This window comes from Homo sapiens, chromosome 7 (genome assembly GCF_000001405.40).
Source record: "Homo sapiens chromosome 7, GRCh38.p14 Primary Assembly".
In the NCBI taxonomy this organism is placed as follows: Eukaryota; Metazoa; Chordata; class Mammalia; order Primates; family Hominidae; genus Homo; species Homo sapiens.
Window position 1 is genome coordinate 8042894 of NC_000007.14, and position 15938 is coordinate 8058831.

General features: G+C 35.6%; 1 protein-coding gene across 1 annotated transcript in view; it reads left to right on the top strand.

Moving 5' to 3' along the window:
* The window catches only part of GLCCI1 (glucocorticoid induced 1), a 120285-nt gene that overhangs the window by 74098 nt on the left and 30249 nt on the right, over positions 1 to 15938 (top strand). The window contains exon 4 of the mRNA NM_138426.4: positions 12540 to 12656. Coding sequence (NP_612435.1) covers positions 12540 to 12656 — 117 coding nt within the window. The remainder of the gene's footprint in view (positions 1 to 12539; positions 12657 to 15938) is intronic.

Genomic DNA, 15938 nt, shown 5'->3' on the forward strand with positions numbered 1-15938 from the left:
GCTATCAAACAGCATCACATGCTACAAAGAAATCTGGTATGAAAGGAAAAGTCAGTCAATTTGGCAAACTTCACTGTTATTTTAAGAAATTACCACAACTGCCTCTGCCTTCAGCAACCGCCATCCTGATCAGTCAGCTAACATCTACGAGACAAGAGCTTCACCATAAAAAAGATTGTAACTTGCTGAAGACTCAGATGATCATTAGCATTTTTTAGCAATAAAGTATTTTAAAATTAAGGTATGTATATTGTTTTTAGACACTACTATTGCACACTTACTAGACTACAGTATAATATAAACATAACTTTTATTTGCACTGGGAAACCAAAAAGTTCATGTGACTCACTTCATTGCTATATTTTTTATTTCTTGTGGTGGTCTGGAATCAAACCTGCAATATCTTAAAAGTATGCCTTCATTCAACAATGCTGTGGTAAAAAAAAAAAAAGCAGCCATAGGCAGTATAGAGTAGGTTTGACTATGTTCCAGTAAAAGTTTATTTGCAAAAACATATGACAGGCTAGATATGGCCAGCAGAACATAGCTTGCCAATCCTTGCTAAGTAAAGTCAGATGAGTAAGACTACATGTTATATGATTATAGTTTTATCAAAATTGCAGAAAAGGCAAATCTATAGAAAGGAAAAAATGCCTATTATGGTTGCCTGTGACCAGAAAACTGATGATTGACAATAAATAGAATGAAGGGAAATTTGGGGGGTGATGAAAAAGTCCTAAAATTGGATTGTGATTCTTGTTGTATAAATCTGCAAATTGATTAAAACCTTATGAATTTTACTATTAAAATGGATGAAGTTAATGGAATGTAAATTATACTTCAATAAAACTGAAAAAAGGGAATAGGTATAAAAGACTAATGTGATTTTCATGATATTTCATGAAGATACTAAATTCTGTATAACAGGCTATAAAAATGAGAGTACATGGGTGAAGACCGAACATGAAAATAGGAAGAATAGTTGTAATAGATGTCAAGAATTATAATGTGAGAAAGTCATGAAAAATCAAAACTATTGTTGAAGCACTAAATTTTTTTTTTTTTTTTTGAGATGGAGTCTCGCTCTGTCACCCAGGCTGGAGTGCAGTGGCGCGATCTCCGCTCACTGCAAGCTCCGCCTCCCGGGTTCACACCATTCTCCTGCCTCAGCCTCCCGAGTAGCTGGGACTACAGGCGCCTGCCACCATGCCTGGCTAATTTTTTTATATTTTTAGTAGAGACAGGGTTTCACCATGTTAGCCAGGATAGTCTTGATTTCCTGACCTCGCGATCCACCTGCGTCAGCCTCCCAAAGTGCTGGGATTACAGACATGAGCCACCGTGCCTGGCCAAGGCACTAAATATTTTTAAAAGTTACACACCACTAAAGTTCAGTGCTTTTTGAAATAATGTATCATCATCTTCCTTGACATAGGATCGAATTAAACAGTATTATATCCATTCCTTTTTGTACTTTTTTTTTTTTTTTCTTTTGAGACAGGGTCTTGCCCTGTCACCAGGCTGGAGTGAAGTGGTGTGATGTCGGCTCACTGCGGCCTCGACCTCCTGGGTTCAAGTGATCCTTCTACCTCTCAGTGTGCTGAGTATCTGGGACTATAGGCATATGCCACCACACCTGGCTAATTTTTGTATTTTTTGTAGAGACAATTTTTCGGCATGTTGCCCAGGCTGGTCTCAATCTCCTGGGCTCAAGCAATCATCCAGCCTCTGCCTCTCAAAGTGCTAAAATTACAGGTGTGGGCCACTGTGCCCGGCACATCTGTTCTTCATAATTCACATGTATACTCTCTCTATCAGATAATTTGCTTCAGGATTTCTGATTAAAATGTCAGTAAAAGCACTTGTATATAATTTGCCTCTACTTTGCTCCAAACCTGTAAGAATGCAATGTGAAAAAATTTAATCATAAGTAAATACATTTTATCTACATTTATGACAAGAAAAATCTCAACAGACCATAGAAATAGAAAAAAAAGTCTTGGTGATGAGTGGATGTTGATGCTTACAGTAAGTCCTCACTTAATGTTGTCAGTAGATTCTTGGAAACTATGACTTTAAAGGAAATGATGTATAATGAAACCACTTTTACCGTAGGCTAATGGACAGAAACAAGAATTAAGTCCTTATGGCATATTTCTGGTTATAAAAACATCACCAGACTTCTAGATAAAGACCAAAAAACTTGTAATATTAAACACTGAAACAACTGTGAGCTGGAGGTAAATTTAAGAAAGAGTAATAAAAATATTATTTACCCAACGGTTCCAGTGTAGGGTCATGAGTGGCTGCAGTGTATCCTGGAAGGTTAGTGCACAGGATGAGAACCAACCCTGGACAGGATGCCATTCCTTCACAAGGCACACTTACAGATGCACCCACACTCGCTCAGACTGGGACCATTTAGATACGGCAACATATTTGGGATGTGGGAGGAAACCAGAGTACCCAGAAAAAAGCCATGCAGACGTGGGGAGAGATTGCAAACTCCACACAGTGGCCCCAGCTGGAATTGGTTGTTTTCAATGAACAATATGATGAAAGGACCTATTGTACAGAAACCTAGGTAATCTTCACGGGAAAGAGAACCAAAAGTATTCTGCAAATGGCAGGAGATTGGAACTGGGCTCTCTGTATAAAAGTAGGGAACTGGGACCGTGTTTTAGGCAGTGCAACTATACCTGAAATACTATACCCGAAATAATTCCACCTGACACTGTTGGTATTTTCCTGTGACCCAATGAGGCAGTTATGCAAAAATAGGAATGTAACCCTATAATATATGTAGATGTGGCACCTGAATTAGAGCTCTACTTATGAGGGACCAAAGTTCCAGTCTTCTTTATGTTAGACCTACTCTGGAGCTGTGTAACTCCAGAGGTGTGAGTAACCATGCAACCACACAGCAGGCAGGAGTTCGCAGAGGATAAAACTTCCACATAAGATGAACCTGCAAACAAATATCTTAGGAAACATGTTGCCATAAGAGATATCGGACATATTAAGTAGCCTCATTTACATCTGAGGAAATGAGAGTAAGAACCACAATTCCAAAAAAAAAAAACCTTATAAATGTTTAAGATGTTCAAATGAAGTCATAATTCACTATGAGAATAGAAGTAAATAAGAACAGGTGGAATGAAAAGGGGCCACTTGCAAATCTTGTAACAAAATTTGATAAAATTAAATAAACTGTTGGATGGATTAAAGTCAAGTTGGCATAACGGAAGAGAGAATTCATGAATCAGAACTATCAGCTGGGAATTGAAAGTTAGGATGAATCAAGTCACGTAGAACATAGAACAAAGAGGTAAAGAGGTTTAAAACATGAAAGAGAAGAGACATGGAAGATATAAACCAAAAATAAAATTCAGAGCCCTCCCTCAACCATCTGAGTGGACTCCCTCCTCTCGTCCAGGAACTGAAAGTTAACCTGAAAGACTGGTTCAGGCCATTATGGGAAGCAGGGGTGGACATGCCTCTTTATGCCCTCCTCCCTTTTGGAATTTGGGAAAAACTGACCAGCATTTAACATCAACACAGACCTTAAGTTTGATAAGAAACATTTACAGTCTATTCTCTCTGAAGCCTGCTATCTGGAGGCTTCTTCTGCATGATAAAAGTTTGGTTTCCATAACTTCTTATCGGAATTCAGACATTCCTTTCTATTGATAATAACTCAGCCATTTGCCAATCGGAAAATTTTTAAATCTACCTATAACCCAGAAGCCCCTGTCTCGAGTTGTCCTGCCTTTCTGGACTGAACCAATGTATATCTCAAATGTATTTGATTGATGCCTCATGTCTCCATAAAATGTATAAAACCAAGCTGTGCCCCAACCACCTTGGCCACATGTTCTCCTCAGGGCTGTGACATGGGCCATGGTCACTCATATTTGGCTCAGAATAAATACCTTCAAATACAGAGTTTGACTTTTTTTGTTGACAGAGATAACTGAGTTAGGAACTCCAGAATGTAAGAATAGTGCCAGGGAAGAGAAATTTCCCAAGGTTGAAAATTTGTTAGATTTGGAGATGGATGTGTGTCTTCAGATTGAAAAAGTTACCAGTTTCAATGAGGAGAAACAGAGAGGGGGAAAAAAAAAACCACCTCTAAGTATAGCATAAAGGAACTGTAGATCAATAATACACACGTACACACACATTCTAGCAATTAGGGAAAAGCATATTACTTACAAAGAAATGACAACCAGGTTATCAATGCATTTATTAGAAATCACAGTTAATGCTCGTATACAATGAAGTTGTGACCATGTTAAGGAAATGAATCCAAGTGAAACATCATTTCCCTTTATGAAAAGATTGATTTTCCTCCAGTGCATTGTATTTACTAGAGATTTGCTAACCCAGCCTTTATTTAGATTATACACTTGTTTAATTTCTAAACAATTGTACGCGTATACTTTTCCATTGGTTAGATTTGTGTTTCCCTGCTGAAATAACACAATAATTTTAAATTAATGTATAAAGCATTAAGTAGGGTTTAAGATGTCTGCTAAGGAAATAAGGATTTAATGAATACTTACCACTTTTTACAACCGTTAATTTGCACCCATTTAGTTGAGGTAAAAACAAAGACAAGTACATGCTGAAGATAACTTTTTAGCATTCATTATCAGCCTTTGGTGACACTGCATTAGTTTATATAGTGTCAACATGTGCATTAACATCAAATGAGTAAGATTGTATGCTCAGTATTGTGTAAAGCATCTACAATTTCAGAAGAAACTTTAGATACAGTCTACTTCTTAAAGAGCTTAAGAGCTTAATTACATATTAGACAACACAACTAAGACTTTTAAGTGATAATCACAAAAGGACTTTAAATTAGCTCCCACTATCCTTATTCAGTGACAGAAGTTCTTCTGCCCATGATAGAAAATTAGAATCTGGTCACTCCTAAACTCCTGTGTTCCCTTTAAGTGAGTAAATGCTTTCTTATCTCTTATGATAATCAAAGCTTACATCTCTTTTTATGTTTACAGCTACTTCCCTTCTCCCAGAGTGTACTGCTGCTGGGTGACTTATCATGGGTGAAGGGATCCCAGGGGCTTCTTTTCTCTTTCTTGCTCATTTTTTCCCTAACTCAACAGTCTCTATTTCTGACCTCTGTGGAGTTGGAGCTTGGAAAAATGAGGGAAAAGGAAATGGAATAGAAATGTTCCTACTTGACTGCTACTGTCATAAGAGAGTTTTACTTTTTCTGGGCTTAACAGATTTTTAAAGTTGACTTTCTCTTACATTTTCATGGGTCTTTGGAGATCCCCTGTTCTGCACATCTCTTACCTACAGTTATTTCTGGGTTAGTGTATCTCTTACTCTCTCTTAGCCTCTAAAATTCTAGAAATAACCTTCAGCTTCTCAGCTGCTGAGCTCTATTTCCTCTTCTTGGTGGCCCTCTTAAGAAGGACCTAAAACAACCCTTCATGATGGTTCACACACTCAGATTTCCCAAATGGCTCCTGAGAAACTCTCACCAATTTTTTTGGGGAGGTGGGGGGGTCTGTTTAATACAGGGAGTTTAGATTTATTCTAATGCAGCAGTAAATCTATATCATCCTACCGCACTCTTTTCAGAGTGTGGAGTGTGAGTCAAATACCAGTCCCCTTAATTATGGGGAACATACATGAGTCTTTCCAAGTTGTTCCATTAAAACTCCTCTCTTTTCATTTGAGGTAAAGCAGGAAGTATACTGTCTTAGGTATTAGATTTGATTTTATCCTACTTGGAACCTCATAAGGTAACCTGTTACTCTTTCATAGATGCTAGCAGAAGGTATAAGACTCCTGATTTAGAGACAGGTGACTTTATTATTCACAGCACAGCAAGTGTCAAGAACATCAAATTTATGTCAATTCTCCTGGACCCCAAGTCCCATGGGGAAATGAGGAAGACTCAGATGGATCCTGTACATACAGTAGATCATATTATGGAAGAGGAACACTGAGCTTGGGTAATCCACTGCTTTTACAATAAGCAGTAAGCACATTTACCCTTTGTCCCAGAGGGAACGTAAGTAGAACTGTTATATTGTTGTTTTCTTTTTTTGTTTTTGTTTTTACTATTCTGGTTTTTATAAACAAAAATTGAAAAAGATAGATTTACTATTCTTTAAGGCACTCAGTGGAAAGAAGAATAAAATCACATGTTGCTTCATTATTTCACCAGCAAGCCCTCTCATTAGTACGTTATATTTTTTTTAGATGGAACCATCTGAAGGAGTAAAATAAATGATTAGGGATGTTTCTTGCTTCCAGTCAAAAGTGTTTAATGAGTATTATTGATAGGGTCTCCTTTTTAAAGTAAGACTTCCCTTTAATAAAACTATAGTTTTACTGAGAGGGTACAGTCTGCCCTAACATTCTGTTCATTCTTGGTATTTTCAGTACATATTTGTAATGATATTAGGGAAGAACAATTGCAGTAATGGTTTTTCTGGACCTACAAGATAATAGTCTGAATATTTTATATTATCTCTTTGAAATCAAAGGAATTATGTTATAAACCTTTTAAAAATACATATATTATTTATCCAGTAAAGTCTCTGTCTAAATTAAATTGAATCGTAAATATGTTTTATAATGCTTTCATTATCTTTTAAAAACCAGACCCAATAGGAACAGTTTTGAAGGTCACATAAATTGTTTATCAAAAAATATAGAAACTTACCAGTAAGTTAATATACAGTCATTTAATCGCTTCATTAAATTTTTGTTCATTATTATTTCAGTTTCACGGCTTGTAATATCTCCAGCATCAAGAAAGGAAGTTATGCAGTGGTTGGTTGAAATTATGAGCCAATAGTTATTTATTGGTAGTTATTTACAGTTGAACATTCACACAGTATTCAGTAGCATCGCTAGGTAATAGAGGTTACAAATGAAAGCTGTAGAACTGGATTTGCCATTTATTAGCTGTTTCACATTGGGAAGGTACTTTGTTTTTGAGTTTTTCTCATCTGCAGTATAAATTTGAGGCATCAGATGGATTTGTGAACAGTGTTTTTAAATTTTAGTCTGGTATTAAAATGTCTCTTGACAAATATGGTTTATTAATAGTTGTAAATACATTTCTATATTAAAACTTATATGTATAAAAATTCTTCCAAAGCTAGCTGTATCTGTAGAGGTGAATCTGGGGGTTCGGGGGTGCGTGGTGTGTGGAATCTCTGTCTATTCCGGGATCAGTGGGTTTATGTGAAGTCTGCATGTAGGCAAGCATGTCTGTTTGTGGATGGATGTATAGGGGTAGATGTGCTTACAGATGACCCTCCCTGTGTATATGTATTGTGCTTGCACGTATGTATTTTCTTTGTGCATGTTTGTGTGCATGTGTTGAATGAAGAGCAGTTTGTTCATCAGGGTTTGCTTACTGACACTTTAAAGAAAAACAGGAAAACAACAGTGATTATTCATATTTATAGGAAGGCAGAAGTTTAAAATTTTTATTTTTAGAAGTTTGAGATTTTTGTTGAGGGATATAATATATAAAATTTATATGTAGAGGGATATAATATATAAAATTTACTTTTAACTAGACTATAGACCTTTCTTTTGGGACATGTGATCTTTATAAACATTAAAGTTTGTCGTATATTTCCCATTTTATAAAGAAGAGATTAACAGCTTGAGATTCATGATTTTTCAAACTATATTTTCAGAAAAAGTACTTGAGTTAATATCTTCAGTGATTGTTTTAGGGAAGGAGTTATCTCAGTTCAGCCTTTGTCACCTTTTCCATTCCCATTTGTCTGTAATTTTTGTAAGATTTATCTCCTTGTGAGTTGTTAACTTCATTCTTCAGTCAGTATAGAATGGTGATGAAGAGAGCAGAATGTGGAATTCCACTTACTGAGTCCAAACACTTGTTTACCACTTAACAATGTGACTTTTAGCAATATATTTTTTTAACCTTTCTACCTGTATTTCTTCACCTTTAAAATAATAATAATAGTACCTATCTCATGTGCTTTTGTTGAAAAATAAATGAGATAATTCATATAAAAGCAAGTAGCAGAGTGCCTTCTACAATGCTAGTACTCAGTAAATAATTAGATAGGCAAATTTTAATGATGCTTTTTTATTGTTAATTGACACAGTCATCAAACTGGCCTATAATTACTCTTAATAATTGCTGGAAAGAATATGTTATTAGGCAGAATGTGCATCATCAGAGCATTTTCAGCATGTTGAATTATAATTTGTTTAAAATTGTATTACTGGCATTTGGCAAAGCATAAATTTCTATTATAGGAATATCCCTTTACATAAAGAGGGTGTGTTCTAATGTCCGTTGTTAGAAATGTCATTAGCAGAAATAGACATCATAGTTGTGTATTTGCAGAGGTCTTCTATTTTCCGGTAGCTCATTCCTCTTTGCCATGCAAGGCAGGAAGCATAGCTCCCCAGCCCTCTTGAATAATCAGCATGATTTCCTCTTCTGTTAGTACTATTTCCTACTAAGAACCTTAGAACCTAATTACAGCCTTGGGCATGTCATTCATTTCTGCATCCAGGTAACTGAATTAAGAATTTTTGCCTCTTTTGAGTCAGGTTACTGCTTTCTGCTCTTCAGCTGTTACCTTGAGTGACTTAGTATTGAGGATATAAGCACTTCCCCCAGAAAATCTTATGTGGTGAAGGCTACTATGTTAAAATAAAAGAACACCCTTCACCCCCAGCAGTGGAAGGAGAGTTCCAGTTGTTTCACGTCTTAGTCATCATTTGGTTTTGTCATCTTTTAAGTTAAGTTTAGACCTTATGATGGGTGTTAATTTATATTTCCCTCATTAGAATGATGTTGAGCACCTTTTTTATGCATATTGACCATTTGGATATTCTCTTTGGCTAAGTACCTGTTCAAGTCTTTTGCCTACTATTAGACTTTTTCTTACTGCTTTGTAGGTGTTCTTTACATATTGTGGATATGAATTCTTTGGTGGATATATGTGTTGTAAATATATTTTCCCAGTTTATGATGTGCCTTTTTATTCTAATGGTATCTCTGTCTTCTTTTTCAAAGATGAAAAGAATTATAGCTATTACTTTTGGTTCCTGTTAAAAAGGATTTTAGCTTTAGTCACCTTGTCCTGGGCAGGTACTACCCTATAGGTCACCTTTGTGTGAATTAGATAAAAGCACCCCCTCTTAAGTAGATGTAGCCCCATTAGCATAAGATTTTTTTTTTTAAAGGGCAGTGTCTTTCAGTGAAGGAAAAGGCTTCTTTCAGGTAGCCTGAGTATTCTGCTAAGGCTACAGCTTGCTGAGTAGAGCTTGGTCTAGCCTGGATTTACCCCTCAGTCTGGTGCCTTAATGCTTGCTCAGCACTCAAACCGCAAACCAAAGATGGCACCCTAGGGCAGGTTATCTTTAAATATTCAGAGTTTCTAACTATTGAATACAAATTATTACAGTTTATGGATTGAATTTTCTTTTTTCAAAAGGTTGTTCTTAAGTTGTGGGGAGCTGACTTCCAAAATTAATTTCCTAGTTTTGAGTTGGTTATGGCTTAAAAGTTTAGTTATCAGTTAGATGTCTCACACCCAGGATATATTTGTCCCACTGAAACACTGTTCTGTGGAATCTTGGTTATAAACCAACATATAGTAGTGGGATAGAGAGACCTTAACTACTGTGTGTAATGGGTGGTCTTTCTGTAGCAAATATTGTTCAGCAGTCTGCCTTGGGGCAGGAGTGGCATACTTCCCACATTGTCCTAACATTAGAAATAAGAATTACTTCACTTTCCAGCTACCTCTGATGGTTGTGCTTGTATCGCGGTGCAGTGGTACCTGTGGATAAGAAGGATGAACTGAGGACACCAGGTCTCTTGCTAGTGATAATCTATAACATTTTTCCTGGTTTTAGGCTTGCTCCTTCTCTTTTTTTCTTCCCAAAGCCCCCAAATCCTGCTTCCTTTCTCACTGCCATCCCTTAGTCCTTTAAGTTAAGATTTCCCATTTCCCTGCTCTATGGTGGAATAGAATTCATTCTGAGAAAGATTTCTGTCTTCTTCAGTCCTTGAGGCAAAAGTGCACAACCAGTCTTTTGAGGATAAGGGTTTTGGTTTTGTATTATTTATTTATTTATTTATTTATTTATTTATTTATGCAAATGTTAACAGTAGTGGGGGAAATAATCAGGACAAAAATAGCAAGTAAACAGATGATGTTACTAAGTTTTCAAAAAATGTGTTTCTGGTTCTCAGATGTTAAGTAAGGCCAGTTTCTGTTTTTTCTTCATTTAATTGCATAAATGCTTTAATCTTCTCTTGGTGACTATGCTTATTACTCTCTCTATAGTTATTATTTATTCCTTGTGACCCAGGATCACTTACTTATTTCCTACCTTTTCATGGTTTTGTTTTGTTTTTTTTTGTTTTCGTTTTTTTTTTTGTTTGTTTGTTTGTTTTGAGACAGTCTCGCACTGTCGCCCAGGTTGGAGTGCAGTGGTGGGATCTTGGCTCACTGCAACCTCCCCCTCCAGGTTCAAGCAATTCTTTTGCCTCAGCCTCCCAAGTAGCTGGGATTACAGGCCCACACCACCACGTCTGGCTAATTTTTGTATTTTTTTTTTTTTTTTTAGCAGAGATGGGGTTTCGCCATGTTGGCCAGGCTGGTCTTCAACTGCTGATCCACCTGCCTCAGCCTCCCAGAGTGCTGGGATTACAGGTGTGAGCCACTGCACCCAGCTGACTTATTCCCTAACTAATGTTTTAAAACCTTGGAGCTAGTGTAGTTGGGACCCGTTTCAAGTTTAAATTAGGCATCTCACATACTTCTTGACTAGAATTTGAAATATGCCAAGTATATAATATACATTTAGAAAGATGGACTTTTACCCTAATTCCCACGGGATTGTAAACAAGAGCATAACTATGTTATATTCCAAAGAAGGTCTGTCTTTGGAATTCACAGTACATGTGAAAAGCTATAGGATTATATTATTTAGGTTGGTAATCTAAGTGAAGTAAGGTTTGTAGCATAATGTAGGCTTTTTGTCTTCAGGGGTTTGTTAAGTTGGCTTAGAACAAAATTTTCTGGCTTATTTTGACATCTCAGAGGCCTTGAAAAAATAGATTGACTAATATTTATCAATTTTAAGATTTTATGTTTAAATATTTTTTTAAATGAGTAAGTACAGATTATATTATTAATCTCTAGGCATTCTGAGCTCTTTCATATAAGCTCTTTGCAGTTTTGCTTTTATACCTCTGTCCTGATTAAATGAATTGTACAATTTGAAATCCTATTTCTTTTTTATCATAGAGAATTATCTGTCTTGAGTTATATTGATTACCTACAAATTTTGATTCATTTTCTTGTAAAAATTAATGTTCTCTGCAAGAAAATTATGTCAGTTCAATAGAGAGGAAGGCACACAAATATTCACATAATCTTATTTGTGTATCTTTTGCAAGCACATTTTATGAGAGATCCATAAGCTACATAGAGCTTTAAAAAACTTAAAAGGATCTAAAGATCTCACCATAAAAGAAAGGATATAAATTCTTCCTTGTTTGGGTGCTTTATTTTCTTCTATATTGTTTTCTCTTCTATTAACCACAGGTAAACATTAGTTTTCTCAGCGACCTATATACTTTTACCCTTGAGCATTTATAGGCTTTAATACTAATTTTCTATTGCCATGGTTATTCAAGGTAAATATTTAGATAATTTTGGAATACATTATATCTTTGTTGTATCTCTCTGGGCTCATTGTAGATGTTCAGGGAATAATTATTAATTGATTAACATCCTCTTTTCTACAAGGAAAATAATACCAATATTAAATGACTACCCCCAATTTGTTAATGGTTTCCTTTTACATCACCTAAAATATGTAAGTAGTTTAATGAATTCCAGGTCATATTATAGTAATGACTTTTCTGTGAAACGAGGGAAGTGTGGCCCTTCCTTTTAGGAGAATATACCCTAAATTATATTTGTTTTTAAAGGTTTTATGATTACAGAGTAATATATATAGTAATATATTAAATATTAATAAGTTACTAAATAGCTTTGATTCTCCACAACACCATGGGATTTACAATTTTAAAGTGTTTAGTAATTGGTAAACCAGATCCATTTTGTTTATGTAGGACAGGAACTTAGAAACTAATGTGGTGCATATGTTTAGAGATCAGGTTTAACTTTAATCAGTAGGCATTTGAAATATTATTTTTCATCTTATAAAAGGTTTTCAAAAAGGATATTTCTGGTGTTACAAAGGTAAAATCTGAAATAATCTGGGGAAATGTAGTTAGCATATTTACCAATAACACTATTCAAATTTGTAGAAGTGAAGCATTTGTAGCATATATTTACTTCTCATTTTTAATAATCCCAAAAACTTGCAAGAGTAAATCATGGTGGTGAAATATTGTCTCTTCTTAGAAACTTGAAAATGTTTTAATCAGTACCCCAAAACTGAAGAAATAAATATAAAAATTTGGTATTCACTTTTATTCTCTTCTTACTTCTCTTTCCCTGTCCCCAAAGCAGATCGCCAAACTGAGGCAGCAACTACAACGCAGTAAACAGAGTAGTCGTCACAGTAAGGAGAAAGATCGCCAGTCACCTCTTCATGGCAACCATATAACAATCAGTCACACTCAGGTAGGCTAACTTCTTGTCCAGATTTGAATAATTACTTTTAGTTCATTAAGGAAGGGAATTCATCATTTCAGCATTTAAAAAAACCCATAAATATTTAGCTCTACTAAATTACTAGTTTGTTAAATTGTTATAAAAAGATTGTTAGAAAGCAGCCGGGCGGCCGGCCTTGGTGGCTCACGCCTGTAATCCCAGCACTTTGGGAGGCCGAGGCGGGCGGATCACGAGGTCAGGAGATCAAGACCATCCTGGCTAACAGGGTGAAACCGTGTCTCTACTGAAAAAACACAAAAAAAATTAGCCGGGCGTCGTGCCGGGCGCCTGTAGTCCCAGCTACTCGGGAGGCTGAGGCAGCAGAATGGTATGAACCCGGGAGGCGGAGCTTGCAGTGAGCCAAGATCGCGCCGCTGCACTTCAGCCTGGGCGACAGAGCGAGACTCCGTCTCAAAAAAAAAAAAAAACAAAAACCAGCCAGGGGCAGTGGCTCACTCCTGTAATCCTAGCACTTTGGGAGGCCAAGGCAGGTGGATCACTTGAGGTCAGGAGTTCGAAACCAGCCTGGCCAACATAGTGAAACCCCATCTCTACTAAAAATACAAAAAAATTAGCCAGACTGGTGGTGGGTTCCTGTAATCCCAGCTATTCGGAGACTGAGGCAGGAGACTCACTTGAACCCGGGAGGCAGAGGTTGCAGTGAGCTGAAATCATGCCACTGCACTCCAGCCTGGGTGACAGAGCGAGAATCCATCTCAATGGTTAGCCTTCTCTTAATAACAGATAAAACAGAGGATGGTGGTGTCAAGGATGATACTGACCTGGATTGAAATCTTTACTTCCTTCATTTATTGAGCAACTATGCACATTATCTCATTTAATCTTCCTAACAGTTCCTTTACCCATCTTTCTCTGTGTCTCTATGTATCTTATCCCTATTTTACATATGAAGAAATTGAGGATTAACATTTTTATTTTCCCCTAGAAGTAAATACTAACATATCCCATGGAACAAAATAGTAGTGTAACAGAAGAAACCCAAGCAGTATATCAAAACAAACCCCAATTAGGGTTTGTTTCACAAAGATAAGGATGATTCAACATTGGGAAATATGTTAATTTAGTTCATTGCATCAGAAAACCAAAGTAGAAAAGACAGTTGATTTTTTAGATGCTGAATTACACTTGATAAAAACTCAGTATCTTGTGATTAAAAGAATAAATAACCTCTTACTAAACTAAAAATAGGATATTTCATAATGTGACTAACTGCAAATACAGTAAGATCCTAACAATAAAATATTAGTAGCATAATTGTTAAAAAGTCAAGGATGTCTATAATTATTGATATTATTTGCTAGTGATTTAGATGTTCTAGAAACAGGGCAGTAAGATAAAGAATTATCACTACTTACATATGATATTATATATTTAGAAAATCAAAGTGAATTAACTAGACTATTAAAACTAATGATAGGATAGCTAAAATGAAAAATACTGACAATACCAAGTGTTGATGAGGATGTGGAACAACCAGAACAGCCACACATTGCTGGTGGGAACACAAAAAGGTACAACTACTTTGGCAAACATTTTGTCATTTTCTTAAGAAGTTAAACATATGCTGACCGTTCAACCTAGAATTTTCGCCCTTTGATATCAATCCATGAGAAATAAAAGCATATGTCCACACAAACACTTGTACATGAATCTTCTCAGAGGCGTTATTCATAATACTAAAAAAAAAAAGGAAATAGACAAACATCCGTCAAGTTGTGAGTGGATAAACACTTCATGTATCCATGCATCCATGCAATACTGTAGGCAGTAAAATGGAAGGAACTACTGATACAGGGAATAACATGGTTGAATCTCAAAAACATCATGCTAAGTGAAAGAAATCAGGAGCAAAAGGCTACATACTGTATGATTTGTTATATTAAATTCTCAAAAAGGCAACATTATCGAAACAAAGTTTTAGGGATGCGGATTGACCACAGAGAGGCCCTAGGGAAATTTTTTGGATGATAGAGGGTTCTAAAAGTGACTATACTAACAAAGCTCAACAAACTGCATACTTAAAATGGGAGAATTTTATTGTATGCTGATTATACCTCATTAAAGCTGTAAAACAAACTGGCAAGTCTGAGGCATTTGAAGTGAAAATTCTTATATGCCTTCCTTTTTCTTCTTAATCTGATACAATTAACATATTGTTTGTTTCAGGCAGTTTTTCTCTAGGAGTCCAGTGCGCTTACACTAGATCACTTGACTGAACAAAGAATGCTTACACAATTGTTCAAATTTACATTGAATTTTTACCATGTGGTTATTCTTAAAAATTATTATCCTTTGCTATACATACTGGAATATTTGTAGGTGGAATATGAAGTCTAGAATGTACTTTAAAATATTCCAAAAACCAAAAAAACGTGTTCACATGAAACAAATTGGTAAATGTTGATAATTTTTGAAGCTGGATTATGTGTACCTGGGGGTTTATTGTGTTACTCTGTTGAATTATGTTTATGATTGGAATTTTCCATAATGAAAAGGGGAAAACTGAAACTAGATGACTAGATAAAGTATAAACATACCCAAATTCAGTTTCCTCTTATATTAGTAATGTTTCAAAATATGATGAAAAATACAAAATGCCTGGAATCAAACTTAAAAGAAATATGTAAACTATACATCTTTGAGAACATGAAATATAAGACACATAAATGGGAAGTCTTAACACATTAATAGATGGGAAGATTCAGTATTTTTCAAATAGCAATTTACCTGAAATTAATGTACAAATTGTTTTGCATTCCAGTGCAAATTTAAAAGGACTTGTTTTTATTACTTGAAAAACTGTCTTCAAAGGCCAATGAAAAAGCAGGGCCCATTAATAGAAAAGAAAATTTGAAAAGACTTTTCCTACAAGATATGAAAATGTAATATAAAATTATAGCAATTAAGTGGCACTCTGCCTAGGGATTATCAGATAGTAGCTCCAGGAAATCAAATACAGAATCCATAAAGAAATGGTGGGGCAATTGGATTACTGTGTGGGGGAAATAATACTGAGACTTTACACCATACACAAAAGTAAATCATGATAGGTTAAGTATTTAAATGTGAAAAACTGTAAAAATCCAGAAAGAAAAATATTTGATAAAAGTTGATTACCTATTTGATAAAATACAGTTAACTCTTCAACAACAATGGGGGTTGGGGCATTGACCCTCATGCAGTTGAAAATTTGTTTATAACTTTTGGGTTCCCAAAAACTTAACCTACTAA